Source organism: Homo sapiens, chromosome 3 (assembly GCF_000001405.40).
Source record: "Homo sapiens chromosome 3, GRCh38.p14 Primary Assembly".
In the NCBI taxonomy this organism is placed as follows: Eukaryota; Metazoa; Chordata; class Mammalia; order Primates; family Hominidae; genus Homo; species Homo sapiens.
Window position 1 is genome coordinate 14153549 of NC_000003.12, and position 20363 is coordinate 14173911.

General features: G+C 42.7%; 1 protein-coding gene across 9 annotated transcripts in view; it reads right to left on the reverse strand.

The window, feature by feature from the left end:
- Positions 1-20363, reverse strand: part of XPC (XPC complex subunit, DNA damage recognition and repair factor) — a 33455-nt gene that overhangs the window by 8402 nt on the left and 4690 nt on the right. For 3 of the 9 annotated variants that reach the window (NM_001354729.2, NM_004628.5, XM_047448864.1), the window contains exons 2-10: positions 19319-19514; positions 16890-17002; positions 14709-14832; positions 13621-13705; positions 11880-12037; positions 11265-11385; positions 6193-6282; positions 4463-5344; positions 2787-2947 (exon numbers count right to left, since the gene is read on the reverse strand). In NM_001354729.2, coding sequence (NP_001341658.1) covers positions 2787-2947; positions 4463-5344; positions 6193-6282; positions 11265-11385; positions 11880-12037; positions 13621-13705; positions 14709-14832; positions 16890-17002; positions 19319-19514 — 1930 coding nt within the window. Of the gene's footprint in view, positions 1-330; positions 486-2786; positions 2948-4462; positions 5345-6192; positions 6283-11264; positions 11386-11879; positions 12038-13620; positions 13706-14708; positions 14833-16889; positions 17003-19318; positions 19515-20363 lie in introns of those variants that run through there. The other 6 variants (XM_047448865.1, NM_001354730.2, NM_001354727.2 and 3 more) reach the window with 6 other exon arrangements.

The following is a 20363-nucleotide window of genomic DNA, read 5'->3' on the forward strand; positions in this document are numbered from 1 at the left end:
GCTACATACAACAGGAGTGAACCTTGAGGACTTTATGCTAAGTGAAATAAGCCAGTCACAAAATGACCATAAATACCGTATGATTCCACCTACATGAGGTCCGGTTAGGTTCGGCAGGTTAGGTATATTAAATGCATTCTCAACTTAGGATATCCTATTTTCAGCTTCCAATGGGTTTATGGGGATCCAACCTCATCCTAAGTCAAGGAGCATCTGTGTCCTCACCTACCAACTAGGGACAGTGAGCTTGCCCTTTCTACCGCACATGGTTGCTGGGAGGACCAGACGTTTCCTGTGTGCCAGAGCAGCGCTTCTGCCAGTAGCACCAACCTGCCAGAGCTCAAAGCTCCACTCATGCTCCCACTGGGGGCGGAACATCTTTGACTGCCCAGAGGAGTGATTATGTCATGGTCGTGGTCTTCAGACAGGAGCGGGTAAAAAAGGGGTCTTAGGGGTTGACAGGTAGGCAGCATCTGGACATCTTCCTAAGGAAAACAGCAGGGAAATGGACACAGTCCTCTCAGAATAAATGTGAACTTCTAACCATTTCACACCCGTTAAAATGGCTATTAACAAAACACAGAAAGTAACAAGTGTCAGTGAGGATGTGGAGAAAGTGGAGACCTTGTGGACTGTCGGTGAAAATGTAAAATGGGTGCAGCTGCGGTGGAAATGGTAAGGTGGTTCCTAAAAAAATGATGGGAATTACCATCTGGCCTAGTAATTGTACTGGGTATATGCAAACAAACAAACAAACAAACAAAAACTGAAAGCAGAATCTTGAAGAGCTATCTGCACACCCATGTTCACAGCAGCATAATTCACAACAGCCAAAAGGTGGAGACGAGCCAAGTGCCCATTGATGGATGAAGGCACAAACAAAATGTGGTCCACCCACACAATGGAGTATCAGCCTAAAAAGGAAGGAAATTCTGACCCATGCTACAATATGGATGAACCCTGAGGCATTATGCTAAGTGAAATAAGCCAGTCACGATGTGACTATAAATACCGCATGATTCCACCTACATGGGTCCCTATAGTAGGCACACTCAGAGACAGAAAGGAGAATGGTGGGTGCAGGGCTGGAGAAGGGGAATTCGGAGTTTTTGATGGGGACGGAGTTTTGGTTTGGGAAGAGGAAAAGAAATCTGGAGATGGATGGTGGTGATGGCTGGATGACAGTGTGAATGTGCTTAATGCTGTAGGCTGTACACTTAAAAAATGGTTGAGATGGTAAATTTTATAATATTTATAAATATTATAAATTTATTTATATATATAAATATATATAATTTATAAATATTATAAATTATTATAAAAAATTTATAAATATTTTACCACAATAAAAAATAAATCAATAAATATGCACCTCTAATGCTTCCTTCTGTCACTGACATGGTGCCTCTGGACGACGCCTGCATTCTCTTCCCAACAGGCTTTCTCCCGACTACCCGTACATACCCATAAGAGGAAGCCTCTATCAGGGCAGCCCAGGCCCCCTGCTGCCTTTGACTGCTGGGTGCTAAAGTCCCAGAACAGCAAAGCCCTGCCCCTGCCCAGGGCATCATGCCCCCCACCGACATCAAACAGAAAGCTCCAAGACAGGGCAGAGCCCTGAAGAGAGGGTCCAGCATGACTCCCATGGGGGGCTGACAAGCAGGAAGTCATCCCCAGTGGGAGGACTCAAATCGCCCACTCTCATGTGGGTTTCCCTACGCTTCCTTTTTCTCTTTTCTGTACCTTCCTGTTTTCTCATTTATTAAGAACATCTCCTATTTCTTGGTCTTGTACATCCCATGTCTTTTAAAATCACTTATTTTACTTGCTTTTTATTCCCATTTCTCAAAATTCCTGTTTCTATTTTTTTCTTACCTCAAAATTGTATTAACATTTTTCAATTTTAATTTTATATATATTTTATTCATTTTTTGCTCTTATTCCACTCTTTTTTTAGCTATTTCTTTTTACTGTGGTATAAAACACAGTCACATAAAATACACCATTTTAACCATTTTTTTGTTTTTGATACGGAGTCTCGTTCTGTCACCCAGGCTGGAGTGCAGTGGCGCGATCTTGGCTCACTGCAAGCTCCGCCTCCCGGGTTCACGCCATTCTCCTGCCTCAGCCTCTCCGAGTCGCTGGGACTACAGGCACCCGCCACCACACCCGGCTAATTTTTTGTATTTTTAGTAGAGACAGGGTTTCATCGTGTTAGCCAGGATGGTCTCGATCTCCTGACCTCGGGATCCGCCCGCCTCGGCCTCCCAAAGTGCTGGGATTACAAGCGTGAGCCACCGCGCCCGGCCCATTTTAACCATTTTTAAGTGTGCAGTTCAGTGGCATTAGGTCCATTCACAACATTGTACAACCATTACCACCATCCATTCCCAGAACTTTTTCATCCCAAACAGGGCTCTGTACCCATGAAAAATCCACTCACTTTTAACTTTCATAATCAAATCCTTTATTCCTTCCTTTTGTATGTTTTTGACTTATATTTGTGGGGTGTGTTTTATACTGCCCTATCTTAAATTTTATTTTTCCTACTTTGTATTTTATTTTCCCTGTAACTGTTTTTCCCCTGCCATTCTTTTAATCCCTGTTTTAATTTTCAAATTTTCTTCTCTCCTACACATCACACACACACAGCACACGCACACTGGCTCAGCCCGAGAATGCTGTCCAGTCAGATGAGCTCCCATCAGCAACCCTTGCCTAGGAAGAAGGCTGCTAATCCCATGCCATCAGGAAGCCCCTGAGGCCAACCAGGCTGCCTCACGCACCTGGAGTAGACCGCTTCTCCACGACAATACCCAAGGATGGCAGCTGTCTCGGGATAGATGGCCTCATATTTCAGGAGATGCCGCTTCAGGGCATACAGAGGGTGGTTCTTATATAAGCCAATGGCAGTGGGCAAAGGCTGGTCCATGTGTTTAGCCTGAAACTGCAAAGGCCAGACAGACAAGGTTGAGCATGTTATTTAGAAGAGGAAATGAAGTTTGAGGGAGATGATCCTTAGACTAACTTGTTCTGACAACAGATGGTGGAGCCAAGGTTTCATGAACACTAATGGTTTTGTAACATCGCATCTGTACCTCCGGCCAGTAAGTCAGTTACAGATCAATCAAAAGCTTTAAAGAATCAAATAAATCTGTGGCTTGTGGCAACTTCAAAAAGTTGTCTAACCTATTTGAATGCTTAGACACCTAACCCAGCCCCAGCAGATGTGTTAAAGGTCTGCAAGGAAGAAAAACACACAGTGCTCTTCAGTAAGAAGGTCTTATTTCAAAGGGACAATCCTCTTCTAGAGCGTGAGCTTACCTGTCTGCTCTCACAGGAAACTGAGAGCAGCGGTTCTCACCCTGCGACTTTTCTCTTCGTCCACTATGACAGTGTTCTCTCTGCCCTTCTCTGAGATTGCTCATTTCTCAGTAGGCAATTCACTGCTGTAAGTCACCCTGTTCACTAGGCTCTCTAAGGCTTGCCCTTGGCATCTCTTCAAAAACCCCAACAGACTAGAAAGGACTGGCAATGTGGAGTTGCTGAGAGTGGGAGAGGACGCTGCACGTTCAGCTTCCACTGCGCTTTAGGTAGGTTAGTTACGATACCATCTGCATACTTTCCACTTAACCTGTCATTACTAAGTAAAATGAACTTAGTAATGCACCCATTTTACTTAGCATTACTAAGTAAAATGCACCCCTGGAGCAAACACTCAATATGGGATGCATTGCACTCCTATAGGAAATGATTAATAAATCTGCAATTTACCTATCCTGAGGGATTGGAAATAAACCTGCGACAAATCTGGGCATGTTCCTGTGTAGAAATGGCAAGCTCCACCCACCACCACCACTGCCATACACACAGGCGGCTCGGGCACTATTCCTGGTGTCAGTGCTGGTTCTAGGATCAAGTGACATAGCTGTCATGTTCTAGAAGTCTCTGCCTCCCGGTCTGCCTTCTCAATAGACTGAAGATACTGTCTCATTCCGAGACAGTATCATGTCTGTCTCATTCCGAGACCCCTCTTTCCCAGGAGGTGAGTGTTCTATGTATGAGGGGTGTTTGCACGTACATCTTTACATTCACGCATGATGGGGGAGGGGGGAGAATATATCCATGGGTTATTCCTTCTTTCACTCAGTCTGAGTTATATTACTTGCATAAATTATTTTAAAGCTCCAAATTTATAACTGGGCAATAACTAAAAGTATACAGGCTCCAAAGCCACACAGACCTGGGCTCAAGCACCGCGGCAGTTCATCTTTCAACTCCACAACTTTTTACACTAAAATTAAGGCAGCAACTGCCCCAGCTTTATATGGCTGTGACAATTAAATGAGACAACCCATTAAAAACACCCAACATAGTGCTGGGCATATATAAGGTGCTCAAAAACAGGAATAATTTTAATAACCTGACTGTGTCTTGGAGCCCCTGGCAGCCAAGGCCTTACCTCCAAGTCTTCTTTCTTCTCCCTGTCCATAAATGGGCTCTGGTATGGTCTCAAGGTCTCGGCCCACCACTCAGCATCAACCCGGCACTTGCGGGTCACTGTCATCCAGACTGGGTCGTACCTCTGTGTGACATCTCGGACCCAGCCGTCACTGTCAATGCCCACCACATAGGTCATGGGCTTGGTGGCGTACTTGTAACAGGTCAGAGGCTGGCCCACCACACCGTGCACACAGTCTACACATACCCACTTTTCCTCCTGCTCACAGAACACCTCTAGCCACTGGTCTATACCAGCTATGCTTCTTTTTTCTGCCTTCTCACCATCGCTGCACATTTTCTTGCCTCTTTTACTGCTTGAAGAGCTTGAGGATGCCGCTGGCAAGCTTGGGTCCTTACGATGGCTCCCACGATGGGTCCTGGAGGCACTCTTGGACCCAGCCTTTGTCCTCTGAGGAGCGGGGGCTTTCCTCTGCTTTGGAGGGCCAGGTTCGGAATCCTCATCAGAGGGATCAGAGGCTTCTCCACTGGAGAGCTCAAAATCAGAGCCGCTGCCAGCCTCATCACTCCCACTCTCCTCTTTATAAGACACCCTGGAGGCCACCCGCCGCTCCCGGCCATGCGGACGTCGCTGGGTTGCCTTCTCCTGCTTGTCTCCTGGGCCCTCATCTTCCTCGCTGGAGGAGGGCTTGCTCCGTTTCTTTCTGCCTCCCTTGTTCCTCTTCCCTTTGGCACTTGGCCTGCAGGTGCCCTTAGCAAAGGTTTCCTCTTGTTTGGTTCCTTTGCTGGTCTTTGGTTTGGTGTGGTTTTCTAGAACTTGGCTGGAAGTTTCTGAGGAGCCTCCTGGATCCGCAGTCAATCTTTCCTTGGAAGGTTTCTTTCCCTTAAACAGAATAAGAAATTTTGCTTTTTTTTCTCCCCCCTCTTTTGCTAATGATATGATAGAAATCCTGTAATCTAATAGGGTTAAGTCACCAGCTAGAGAACCAATACATCAAGATGTCCCCAGCTCAGACAGTGATCAACCAGCTATCCTTCAGGGTTGTATGTATGTATTGGCTAAAATCTGTAGCATCTTAGATAAGGCCACAGTATAATTCTTTTCACCCTAACTGTAAAGAGAAAAGAACATGGGATTTGGACAGCCAAACATGGGTCTGAATTCCAGTTCTAACTCTTATTGGTTACGTAAATTAGGTAAATTACTTAACCTCCGAGTTTCAGTTTCCTCAGCAGTACTACTACCCACCTTGGACATACGCATTTTGCAAACAAATACTTATGGACTTAATACAGCTGTAGTTTTAAGAATACAGATATTATGAAAATCAGCTTCTAGACCATCAGGCTTCAGACAATGCCAATACCCCAATGAGTACAGCATTTAGCTTCTTGAAGCTAACCCAGACCACCTCAAAATCCACAGTGCTTCACTCATCAGCACTCCACGGAGCAAGCAAGGACAGGCACCATTCCACACAATTTACAGAACAGAACAAAAGCAGCACTGGGCCGAGGCCTCTCACAGGCCACTCTGCACACGTGAAGTTCAGGCTGCTAGATACCCACTCACATGCCCAAGTCTTCCCTAACACAGGGTATGTGCAAGGCTCGAAAGAACCCACACTCCGTGAATACCAGCTCTTAAAAAATATAATAATGATCAATTTTTTTAAGTGTGACAATTTCCTGTCAATTGCTCCTCTTCTCTGGCAGCCCTGCGCACCTCACCTTTGCTGTTGCTGACTTCAGAGGAATTGGCTGTAGAGACAATACCAGCCGGGTCAAGAGCTGCAGAGCCCGGAGAATCAGTAAGAATATCTATGATGAAAAGGAAGAACATAGTTATCCTAAGAAAGTAATTAAAGATGTAATGAGTTCAATGTTGTTTGTTATGGTGCTTGTTCAAGACAGGGAAAAGCTGGAAACAGCCAGACTGTCTAACAGTAGGCGACGGAAACTCCAGACACTGTTAAAAACGATGATGCAGAAGTTTATCTTCGTAGAAGAACAGGAACATGCTCATCATATATTAAAGGAAAATAGAAGTTTTCCTTTAAAAAGTATGATGTGATTACATTTTTATAAGAAAAATATGTATATATAAATTTAGACATACACGTATATTTGAAAAAGCATCCATATACTGGGTTATGGGTGTTTACATGCTTTTTTTCTCTGCTTACCTACCTTCTGATTGTTCTGTAGTCAATATGTGTTGCGTTTGTGACTAAAATAATAAAATGAAATACCACTTTGGGAAGAAGAAGTAGAAAGTATCATTATCGTCAGATCACCAGGTCTGTTCCCTGTTTTCCAATTTTCCCCACATTGAATCTTTAACTGAGTCTGCAGCTCTGAAAGCTGTTAACTTGGAAGTCTGGGAGCCCCTCAGGGGACTTAACTCCAATGGCAACAGTGATAATGTACTCGGCCAAGGCCTTCCTACACGGGTCTCCAGGTCCCAGCATCTCTCCTTGATTACTGCCACAGCCTCGGGAGAAAGTCCGGTGTGAGAAGCCATTGTTATGGTGAGAAAAATGATTGCTTTTGCCTTGTTTCTTCTGCGGCTAAAAATTTCCAAAGTGTCAAGGTCATGAAAGACAGGGAAAGCCCAAAACACTGTCACACACTGGAGGAGACTAAGGAGACATGATGACTAAATACAAACTGGTATCATGGAACAGAAAAAGGATATCAGTGAGAAAACGTGGAAAATCCAAATAATGTCTGTAGTTTAGCTGATGGCATTGTACCAGTATTAATTTCTCAGTTTCTTCTTGTACAGCATGGCACAGGAGCACAGGTCCAGAAGTCTGGATAACTAAGTGTTCACCACTAGCTGAGTGACTTCCCTAAGCCTGGATTTCTGCATCTAGAATAATCCCTGCCTCGGCTTCCTCACAGGACTCTAAAGAGGATTAGACAAGATAATGCAGGTGACAGGACTCTGGAAACAGTCTAGTGCTACCCAAGCATACACAGTCACCACCTTTAGTAAGAAATCTATCAATGTACATTGCTGAGGAAAAAAATCAGGTTACAGAACTGTACGATCCCTACAAATTAGATAACATAGAGAAAATGGACAAAATCCCAGAAACATACATATATGACCAAACCTGACTCAAGAAGTAATGGAAAATCTGAACAGATCTGTAATAACAGATCGAGTCAGAACTCAAAAACCTCCCAACAAAGAAAATGTCTAGGACTAGATGACCTCACTGGTGAATTCTAGCAAATATTTAAAGTGGAATTTACCTCAATCTTTCTCCAACTCTTTCAAACGTTAGAAGAGGAAATATTTTTTAACTTGTTCTATGAGGCAAGCATTACCCTGACACCAAAGCCAGACAAATACATCACAAGAAAATAAACCAATTTATGAATATAGATGCAAAAATCCTGAATAAAATACTAAAAAACAAATTGAACATATGAAAAGGCTTATACAACATGACCAAGTGGTACTTATCCTAGGAATGCAAGGATGGTTCAACATAAGAAAATCAATCAATTAAATATACATTAATAGAATGAAGGAAAGAAAATCCAGAGGATCATTTCAACTGACAAAGAAAAACGCACCTGAGACAATCCAACAGGCTTTCATGATTAAAAAAAAAAAAAAAAAATTCAGAACACTAGGAATAGAAGGGAACTGAGTCAACGTGATAACCCAGATCTAGTATGATACTTAATGGTGAAAGATTGAGAGCTTTCCCTCTAATTATCAGGAACAAAACAAGGATGCCTGCTGTCACCACCATTATTCAACATTGTACTTGAAGTCCTAGCCAGAGCAATTAGGCAAGAAAAAGGCATGCAAACTGGACAGGAAGAAGTAAAATGATCTACTCATAGATGGCATGATCCTATACATAGAAAATTTCAAAGAATGCACAAGAAAGCTAGTAGAGCTAATAAATGAATTCAGCAAAGCTGCAGGGTACAAGACAACACAAAAAAATCAGTTGTGTTTCTATACATTTGCAATGAACAACCTAAAAGAGAAATTAAGAAAACAATGCTATTTCCAAGAGCATCAAGAAGAATAAAGTACCTAGGAAAAAATTTAACCAAGGTAAAAGGCTGTACACTGAAAATTACAAAATACAGCTGAGAAATTAAAGACAAAAATAAAAGGAGAGACATCCATGCTTATGGACTGGAAGACCTAATAACCAGATGGCAATGGCACCCAAATTAATCTACAGATCAGTGCAGTCCCTATCAAAATTCCACAGCTTTTTCACAGAAATGGAAAAACAGATCATCAAATTCATATGGAATTGCAAGAGGCCCCAGATAACCAAAGCACACTGTAAATGAACAGAGTTACACTGAGGCTTCCTGATTTCGCAACTTACTACAAAGCTATAGTAATCAAAACAGTGTTGTACTGGCGTAAGAACAGACATGTAGACCAACAGCATAGAATTGAGAGGCTGGAAATTAACCCATACATTTATGGCCAGTTGATTTTTGAAAAGGATGCCATGACCATCCAAGCCCCATTGAAAAAATTGTCTCTTCAACAAATAATGCTGGGACAAATGGATATCCACATGCATAAGAATGATATTGAACACCTACCTGATATATGCAAATATTAACTCACAACGTATGTAAGAGCAGTAACTATAAATCTCTTACAAGAAAACACAGGGGTCGATCTTTATGACCTTGGATTTGACAATGGAATCTTAGATACGACACCAAAAGCAAAAAGAACAAAAGAAAAATAGGTAACTTGGACTTTGTCAAAATTCAAAACTTTTGGGTATCAAAGGACTTCATCAAGAAAGTAAAAAGGCAACCTACAAAATGGGAGAAACCATGTGGAAAGCATGTATCTGATAGGTAACTAATATCCAGAATATACAAGGAGCTCTTACAAATCATCAACAAAAAGGCAACATAATTAAAAAATAGGCAAATACTTGAACAGACATGTCCTCAAAAAAGATACACAAATGACCAAGAAGCCCATGAAAAGACACTCATCATCATGTCATTGGAGAAATGCTATCAAAACCACAATGAGGTATCACTTGACACCCATCATAATGACTATAATCAAAACATCAGAAAATAACCAAGTGTTGGTAAAGATTTGGAATCCTCGTTCATTGCTGGTGGCAATGTAAAATGGTACAGTAACTGCAGAAAACAGTTTGGTGGTTTCTCCAAAAATTACATATAGAATATACATATGACCTAGCAATTTCAATCCTAGGTATATACCCAAAAGAACAGAAAACAGGGTATGTAAATAAATATATGTATAGACATTATTAACAACACTCTTCACAACAGCCACAAGGTGGAAACTAACTAAATGTCTGCCAATGGATAAATGGATAGAGAAAATGTATAAACATGTAATGGAATATTATTCAGCTATAAATATTAATGAAATACTGATACATGCTAAAATGCAGATGAATCTTGAAAACATTATACTAAGCAAAAGACAGGCAGAAAAGGCCACATAGTGTATAATTTCTTTTATACTAAATATCCTAAATAGGTAAATCCACAGAGACACAAGACAGATTGGTGGTTGCCACGAGCAGGGACAGGGGGGTAACAATGAGGAGTTTAATGCGTATATACAGGGTTTCCCTTGGGGGTGACAAAAACATTTTGGAAATAGAGGTGGTAGTTGCACAACATTGTAAATGTACTAAATGGTCACTGAATTGTACCCCCTCTTTAAAAGCTGTGTGATCCTATTTTGCTTAAACAAATAAACAAAACAAATACATACGTACACACATACACAGGAACAAAGTCTGGGAGGACAATACTAAAATATTAATGAGTTACCAGCCTGGCCAACAGGGTGAAGGGTGAAACCCCATCTCTACTAAAAATACAAAAATCAGCCAGGCATGGTGGTGGGCACCTGTAATCCCAGCTACTCGCGAGGCTGAGGCATGAGAATCACTTGAACCCAGGAGGTGGAGGTTGCAGTGAGCTGAGATTGCACCACTGCACTCCAGCCTAGGCGGCAGAGAGAGACTCTGTCTCAAAAAACAAAAACAAACAAACAAAAAAATTGGCAGCACATTATAACATAATTATCAGCCTTGCCAAATATCTTAGACTTGTTAAAGCCAACACGGAAGAAGAGAACTAAAGATGTCAACCATCTTTTTCTCCAGAGAATCTGGGACTCCCAGATTGAACTGTATGGATTAATAGGAATCTTCTAGGGATAAAACCACATTTCCATCTCTGTTTTTGTTTTATTCAGACAGAGCCTTACCTACAGGTGCCTGTAGGCATTTGATAAAGCCTGCCTGTCCCTGGAGCACTCTGCCATCACGATTCCTTTTTATGGACAGAACCCTCCTCACTGCACTGCTGCCTGCCAGTGTCAACACCCAAATGTGAGATACAAAAACACATTCTCAAGGACTTCAGCATCCAATTTGAAAAAACATTTCCTTGGGACTTCTGAAGACAAAATTGGAAAAATTAATGAAAATATTTCTAGCACATCTGACCAAAAACTACGGGCTTTTTGGTACACCACAACTAGAGGCGATAGGGAGGAAAGCATACAGGCCCTCCACTCAGACTCTGATCCCAATCTCGATTCTCAGGCTCACCAAGGAAAAGACCTTAGAGGCATCATGTAGCTATTCTGGGCTTCAGCAGCTATCAACGTCATTATGAGGACTGAATAAGGTAGTGTCGGTAACACACCTGGAATGGCATCTGGCACATGGCTGCCATTATCATTAGTTAACAGTACTGATAAAAAACAGTGATCCGGGAGGATCACTTACATGGACCAATTCCTCATCATCTCGAGCAGAGTAAATAGCAAATCTCCTTTCCAATGTAGTCTGCAGGTTATCTTGTTCACTGGCTGAAAGTTCTGCATTAACTGTAAATGTTCCAATGAACCTGGGGAGAAAGCAGGCATTCCTTGTGTCAGAGGTCAGGGCAAAGGGGAATTTTCATTTCCAGCCAAGAAAATAAAAAGAGGGAGTGAATCGTGAGACCCGCCTGCCTCTGTCCTACTTTCCCCAGCCCGTCTAGCTAACTCCTATCATCACTGCAGACCCAGCTCAGACTTTACCTCCTTGGGGAGCCTTCCCAGACCTCCCAGCTGAGAAAAGCGCCCCTGCTATGTGAGCCTGCAGTCCCCAGAACACCCCTTCCAGGGCACTCCTCATGCCATCCTGTAATTACCTGGTATGTATTTGTCTCCCCACCAGTCTGGCAGCTCTACCAGGGCAAGATCATACCTGGCATTTCTCTATCTTCAATGCCATGCCCACCACCTGATACATAGTTACCGCCTCAGGGAAGGTCTGTGGAAGTGACCTGAACCCAGCCTCTGAGAGAAACACAAATCCTACACTCCCCAGCTCTGCAGGACAAGCGGAGGGCCTTACCACTTCACCAGGTTTGAGAGGTAGTAGGTGTCCACATCTCGAGGCAGCACTCTGGTAAAGCGGGCTGGGATGATGGACAGGCCAATAGCATGCAGATCTGGCTGGCTGCAGATGTTATTTCGATAGAAGCCATTTGCTAGCAGGCAGAGAAGGTGAACCTGTGAAGAGGAAAGGAGGAAGGGGCAGCATGGAAGGAAGGCCGGACACCAGGAGGAATTTTTGCTGCCAAAGTCAAGACATGCTGTGGACAAGAAATATGTGTTGCCATTTCTACATATAAGAAAGTAAAAACACTAGCATTGGCCACTTCCCAAGCTTGTCTTTGACCCTCTCTTTTTCTCTCTGTATACTCATTCCTTCAAAGGAATCATCAAACCTCAAAGCTTCAAAATACAAATTGCTTTGTTTTCAAAATACAAACTGTTTTTGTTTTGGTCTTGTCTTTCAGAGATACATACTGAAAGATTTCTGGATGAAATGCTGCCATGTCTGGGGTTTGCTCCACGAGATCAGAAGAAAAGGCAAGTGGAGTGGAGCTGGAGAGACTGCTGGAAGCCTGTGGAAGCCGGCGGGATGCACCCCACTGGGCTCACTGGGCTGCTCTCGCCACCTCTCTGGGTGTTTGAGCCCAACCTTCTCTGTCACAGGCTCCACATCTTTGCCCTTCCTCTGACCCCAAAACCCACCCTTCATCCACCTACTGAAATGATTATATGACCTCTTCACCTCTTTTCACATACTGCTTTGTGTCATTTTCCCTTCAACATTGGCTTCCTCCCCCCCGACTAACAGCCTCCCTATTTTAATCAATAGTGCTGCCTCTCTCTCCTCACTCAGGCCTCAAACCTGAGAGTCATCTTCCCTTTCTTTCACCTCCAGCACCCAACAAGAGGTGAAAGGCACACAGCTGTCTCGTTTCGTGCCCCAGGCCTGGGTGAGGGAGGCGACCCCTCTCTAACCTCGTCACCATCCTTGCACCTCTAGATTTCTGCAGTAGCTGCACACAAAGCAACTCACCCATCCCATCACTATCCTCTCAGGCAGCCCACCATCCATCAAAGGGAAACCAAAGCCCACCCTCCCTTCACCCCCACCCCCCAACACCTACATACTCCACACACGCAGGTGAGCTGGGCACCTCGCCGTCCCCTCCACAACTTGGCTAGAGTCTTCAACTTTTTCTCCTAGACCTGGCTCTAATCCTTTCCCCTACATAAAGCCTTCCCCAGCTCCACAGAGCCACGCTGATCTCTTTCACTGTTCCAGGCATAGCCTTGAGTTTCTCTGTTTGGAAGTCCTTGTTCCATCTAGAGATCAGATACTCCTCAATTGTAGGAAATAAGCTTTATCCAAGTCTCTATCCCCACCATGCCAAGCACCTTGCTAGGTGTGTGCAAGTGTTCAATAACTGTCAGCTAAAGTCAAAAGCCAGTGCCTGCAGCTGGGATTAGAATTAATGACATTAAATGGCTGAAAGGAGAGATGGAAGGCAAGTGCTCTTTATTTAGCCTCTGCTGCATGCCAGGCATTGTGCTGCAAGTTACCTTACCTATAATACACAACCACCCTCCAAGACAGACACTATTACTACCCCCACCTCCCAGATGAGGATGCAAAGGCTCAGAGAGAGTAAGAAACTTGCCATGGCCACAGAGCAGCAAAGCCAGAAATAAAGCCTCGGTGAGCACAAGCTCTTTGCACCGACAAGGAAAAGTCCTTCCCCATCATTCCTTGCCCTTACCTTGTGTGTGTCCTCATGGACCCCTTTATTGAAACGTTTCATCGCCCTCCGAAGATATGTCTCAAACTCCAGTTTTATCTTTTCACTGCAACAAATAGTGAAAAATCTGGGAATGAAGGGGGGAACTGAAACCAGACTCCACTCCCCCAGGCAATTCCTTCTCCTCGGATGACAGTGAATCACTCTCCCTGTTTCCCTACACAAGGCTGTGCTACTCAAGTCCGTCTGCAAGCCAGCTATTTCCTGCAGGCTCTTTGGCTCCTTCTCACCAGCAAACCTCGGCCTGGGACATTCTGTACCCAGACAACCCTCCTCTCAACCAGCAGCAGATCACACCTCACCTACATGCCTCAAAGCTCACTTCTTCCAGGAAGTCTTCTCTGGCTGTCCAACTCTTCCGACTACTGACTCTCTCCTTAGCAACCATTACCTTTATTAATGTTAAATTAACACACCATCATTTATGTGACACTGTTCTAGTGTAAAATCTCTTTTTCAGTCTGTATCCCATTAATCTTCAAGACAACTTGACACTTCTTGAATGATTTGTATTATCTCCCTCTTCTGTGCCTAGTAATGTGCCCATCGCACATTGGAATTCCCAAGCCATCAGAGGCTGCAGAGGTACTCCGGGATGCTGGGAAGGATAGGGGCTCCCTACCACGGCGGGCACTGCCTCAAGTCCTGCAGCATGACATGGTGAGGAAAATGTGAATGCCAAGTCAATGAGAAGGATTAGGTCTCAGCTCTTCCATTACTGGCTGAGTGACTCTTGAAACGTTACTTAGCGTCTGAACGTTACTTAGCTCCTCATTCACAACACTGTTCTAAGGATTAGGTAAGATAACGGATGACCTGCTCAATCCTTGGCACACAGGAGTTCCCTCTCCTCATCCCTCACCAGCCCCAGCCAGGACACGAAGGTGTCTCATTCAAGTCTCTAAAGGTAAATCAGGTTCCTGACCCAAGGTTCTCGACCACTTTGATACTCAGTCCTGGTCCCCTACAAGTTTCTCCAAAGTCCTCCTAAGCAGCAGCTGTTGCCTACTGCATGTGACAGGAGCCTAGAAGCAAGGGCCTAAGCTTACCTTCTTTCTCTTGTCTTCGCCTGCTCTGGCGTTTCAATCTCTATCTCCACTGGCTTCACAGGCAGAAGAGATCGAGAGAAGGCTGTACTTTCTCTCACGTCACCCAGCACAGGCTCACTAAGTTCTATCAACAAGCATTTTTAAAAATCAGTAATAGTAATAACAATAATAATAGCTACTGTACTGAACAGAATCAAGGTTCTGCTGGGAAGGAGGAAGTGAGGCATGAATGTGAGGGAGACAGCCCACAGAGACCCCTAGACATGCCTTGCCCTGAGTCCTACCATGTGCCGGGCAGTGTGCTGAGTGTTATATATTCGTGTGTCTCATTTAACCCACACAACCCAGACAGTCTTTAGATAAAGAACCTAAAGCATAGAGATACTGGGTTGAATCAGATACAGACCCCTCTATCAAAAAGCTGACACTCATGCATGTATGTATATACTTAAAACTCTTTAAAAAAAAAAAACCCAAGTGAGAATAATCTCCTTTTCTCTGTATTCTGTATTACCACAATAACAATTAGCACAATTTGCTTTGTATAGAGTCATGACTCAGGTGTCCATCTTTCATTCTCAATTATAAACTTGTAAGTGACAAAAAATATATCCTTTTCATCTCTTCACCCCCTACGTTGCTTGTATACAGTAGCTGAGAAGGACTGAACTTGCTGAACTGGATCTAATTGAAAACTTCATTAGCAAAAGTTCCTTAAAAGAGGCTCTGGGCCTAGAAGCCATGACATCTTACTGGCAAAGAATGCATCTAATGCCAGATCTTGGTCTCTATACATGAATCTCTATTAAAATGAACCACAGCTTCTTGAAGAAAAAAAGGCTGGTTTCAAGTCTACAGCAAGAAAAGTATAAGCTGAACAAAAATGTTCTCAAAGACTAATGAGGCCATGTCAAAAGGACATGGTAGTACAGCTAGCTTAAAGGTAGCATGACTAGAAGAGGAACAACCTGACATTAGAGGTGGCTTAATCAATGCAAGATGAGGTTTAAAGCATCATCTAGGAAGGATTCTTGGAAAAAAAATAAAAGTTTAATCAAAATTACATGTCTTTGGACTTAGTTTACAAGAAATACAGGGGATATTGAAACAAGTTTAACACCACCATGAGATGTGTGACTGTTTATCAGACAAAACTAGAACATGAGACAGTCTACAAAACAAAAGACTAGGATCCTTCAAAAAAGGCAGTGCTATGAAAAGCAAAACAAGGCGGTAGGTGGGAAATACTGCTCTATATTAAGAGAGTAAAGTGACATAAAGACCAAATACAAGGCTTGGTTGGATCTTGGTATGGAAAAAGAAACAGGCATAAAGGATGCTTTCATAACAATTGGGGACTTATTTTTCATTTTCGTAGGTGTGATGAGGTCATTTTGTCATGCAGGAGAATGTCTAATTATTAGGAAATGCAGGCTGAAGTATTCAGCAGTGGAGTATCAGAATATCTACAACTTATTTTCAAATGGTTCCACAATGAATATTTACAGAGAGAAACATACATTCAATGTGGCAAAATGTTAATGAACCTAGGTGAAGGACATATATTACATTTTTCACTCTTTTTATAAATTTGAACACTTTCAAAATAAAAAGGTGAGGAAAAGTCAGGCCAGACAGAAGGAATCAGGGATGATAACATTAGCTGGTATTTACTGTGAGTGTATGATACATTAGGCCCATTACATTTGCAAACTTTCTTTTCCCCACAATAATCCTACAGCCTATACTGTGAATGGCTCACACTAAACATTCAGTGTTTACAGAGTGTTACCAATGAGAAAACTCAGTTCAGAGAGGTGAAGTTACTTGCTCAAGATTAAATTACTCACTCACACTGCCACCTAAGTGGCAAAGTTGAGCACTGAACCCAATTCTAACTACTTTCAAAGCCTGTGCTCCTTCTCCTAAATAGTGCTGCCTCTCTATTTATATCTACCCCATTGACAGTCACCAGAGGAAGAGAGTAAACAGCCTTCTTTGGTAACTTGGCCATGAGTTTTTCCATATATATCAAAGCAAGTCCCTAGTACAACCTTATCTGTGGTCTAATTAGCTCAAAAGAAAACAAAAGGATTGCAATTAGTGATCTGACTCCAAACAGAATCAAACAAAAAAACAAACAGAACCAAACAGTTCTGAAAACAAAGAAAGATGTTTCACCTTCAACCTCTTCCCAATCATTTTCACTTTCTTCCTCTTCTTCATTGCTGTCTTCATTCATGGTAGCCCCTCTCTTCAGATGGTGTGCCTTCTTGAGGTCACTTGGAAAGTCCCTGTGTAAAGACCACAGGAAGGAAGATGAAGAAGACTCAGACATCCTAGTGTTCCATTCAAGCTAAATGGAATTTTTAAAACCCCTCCTATTTATTGAGAATCTGTTGCAACTATTTAAAGATGATTAGTAAGCTCTGAGCCTCACTTCCTCCATCAACATGTGTTCCAAATCTCATCAAGATGTGCTCTGATCATCTGTCTAATTACTACCAGATGTGCTGTTAAAAAACCTACAATCTAGATCGTGTGAAAGAAAACATAGCTGTGCCTGGACATGACAAGGAAAAATTAGAAGACACCAAAATAATAATGAGTTCCAGAACTGTGATATCTGTGTGATATATGTGCAGTTGGAGGCCAGAAAGAACAGAATAAAATCTCCATTTATATATCCTACTATAAGCCTACTCAGACTTCTTTTCCATCTTTAAGAAATATGATGTAAGGAGACTGAAATTCATAGCATTCTAACTTCAAGCAGGGATGTAACTACACATAGGTGAGTCATAAATAACAAGAGACATAGACAGCTAGCTAGCTAAGTAGATAATAACATAGATAAGTAGCTGGCTAAACAATGGCTCAAGGCTAAGTACTTGCTGATACGTAATATATTTCTGCAAATTCATATATAAAATGTGTCTAGAGTATCCAGTTACTTTTAACTTGTGTAAACTTTGGCACTTGGTACCAAGTGAGAATATTATCTAGGATTTTGGTATAAACATTTAAAATAACCAATCATCAATCTTGAGCTCTAATAATACACTCTTTTTTTAGAGTACCACTTTCTCTCAAAACACCAGCAATAAAAATTTCCCCTTAGAATGAACATAGCAGAAATGACCACAGTCAATGCTCAGGGGAGAGGGAAAGGGGGACCCAGAGCTTTCCTTGGCAGTATCGTGGCCTATCTCTATGTATATGTCTCTGGAGATAGAATTCAACTAGTGAGGGGAGGCAACTGGAAAGCAGTAAGTTCAGAGGTATTCTTCAGAAAAGTCTAGGGAAGGCCAGGCGCAATGGCTCACGCCTGTAAGCCCAGCACTTTGGGAGGCTGAGCAGGGCAGATCACCTGAGGTCAGGAGTTCGACACCAACATGGTGGAACCCTGTTTCTACTAAAAATACAAAAATTAGCTGGGCGTGGTGGTGGGCACCTACAGTCCCAGCTACTCAGGAGGCTCACTTGAACCTGGGAGGCGGAGGTTGCAGTGAGCCAAGATTGCATCACTAGACTCCAGCCTGGGCAACAGAGCGAGACTCCATTAAGGACGGGACCGGGATGGGGACGGGACGGGGCGGGACGGGAAGGGAAGTCTAGAGAAAAGGAGAAGAGATGGATCATGGCGGAAAATCATCATGCTGTCCCGTGTCCCTTCCTGTGCCCTCTACTGGACTACTCTCCCATCCCAGGACTAGAGGCTGCTGGAAAAGCTGATACTGGCAGTGAGGATTTGTTTATGAAGCAAATGAAAAACTATCCCTCTGTTCTTCCTCTTCTCCCCACCCCTCAACTTTCTTAGGAGGCAGAAAATCAAGTGTTCCCTGGGCTCATAATCACTGTTCACAACATATTAATATAAATGCTCATTCATTGCAAAAATACTTGTTCAGTTTCTGCCAAATAAAAGGGCCTGCAATGGATGCTACAGGGCATATGAAAAGGAACCCCACATGGTTCCAGCCCTCTGAGAGGTCACAGGGTAGTAAGCCTGGGTATGTGGCATGGTAACAATAACTGGCAGACATATCACACTCCCTAGAAGCGCTACAGGAAGTCAGAGGAGAGAAGGGGGAAGAATCAGTGAAGCCTCTGGAGTAGGTGGTTTCAGATCTGCATCTTCAAGATGGAAGCCAGCAAGCACTCCAGGTAGAGGGAATACCATGAGCACAATGCAGGTGTAGAAAGTAGGAGAATGTGTTCAGTGAATGATGAGAAGCTCAGGTGGGCCGGAGAAGAGCGTGCTTGAGGACAGTAGTATGAGATAAAGCTGGAATGGCAGGTAAATATTTTGTATACATCTAATATTTTTGTGTAGTAGAAAGAGCACTGGACCAGGAGTCAGAAGACCTGGGTTCTCCTGCTTTTGCCACTGTCCAGCTGTGGAAGCATGAATAAATCACTTACTGCATGCTGTCACTGTTCTTATCTGAAAAGTTTCCAGCTCTTACCGGTCTGAGTTGTACCTAGAAGAATTTAAAGATCCAATCTTCCATGGACCCCAGTGACAAGTAAGAATAGAGGTTTTCATTATTCACAATTCTCTGATGAGAAAAATCAAGACCCGAGACAAAGCTTTGCAGACATCTCACCTGAGGTCATCCCCATCGCTGAGGGCTTCATCCTTTATAACCTTGAGGTTTTCAGATTTAACAGTCACCTTGGCCACTTTCTTTTTTGCTGGACCATCTGCTGAACCCCCAGGATGACTGCAGCCTCTTTTCCTCTTTCCTTGTGAAACTTTGGAGAGAAGGCTCTTCTTTGGGGGTTTCTCATCTTCAAAGGCATCTAGGTGACAACACAGAACATAAGGTGAGGGGTGGAAGGAAAGGTGGAGGCAGTGCAGCTTATGGGCAGGGGCATAAAACGGCTCTATGACCTGTCTCCAAACCCCATCTCCATCACTGGTTCACCATCCCCTGTCTGGTCAGCAACCAGCTCTCAGCTTCTTCCCACCTGCGGCTAGTCTATATTCACAGTAAAAACCATCTTCCTTTATCAGCACTTTACTTCTCCTATGACTACAGAAAATACCATAGGACTCAAATAAAACCTAACTTCCAGATCTTAAATGTCAGCTAACCTCCTGCCAGGAAAATACAACATCCATTAATTAGCACCTTATTTATTATCTGCCAAAATTAATTGTCTTAGGGATAATGTACTCCTAAGTAAAATGTTAAGTACATAAACATGTCCAAGTTTTACCACAACATCATTACTATTAATCTACATTTCTGCCAACCTTCAAGACCAAACTGCTCAAAACACATACTGCTCTGAAACCTTTCCAATGTAACCCAAATGGCACTCATATACCAACCACCTCAGCAAACTTACAGTTGGAAAAAGACAGCAATAATTCAAAAGTATTTTCTTAAAGTAATTATTTTTTTGTTAAAGGGAAATAAAAAATGCATAAGCTGCTGGTTTTAGTCAAATTGGGGTATCTAAAATTATGGTTTATTTACATATAATAATTATATTAATAGATTAGTTTTAACAAATAATATGGCAGGGAAGGATAGTTTTCTATTTTGCAAATATATTCACACAAATTATCTTGAATCTGAAATAAATCTTTTGTCTTTGCATGACTCTGCTTCAATTAATTTTAGAAAATAAAAATACTCTACC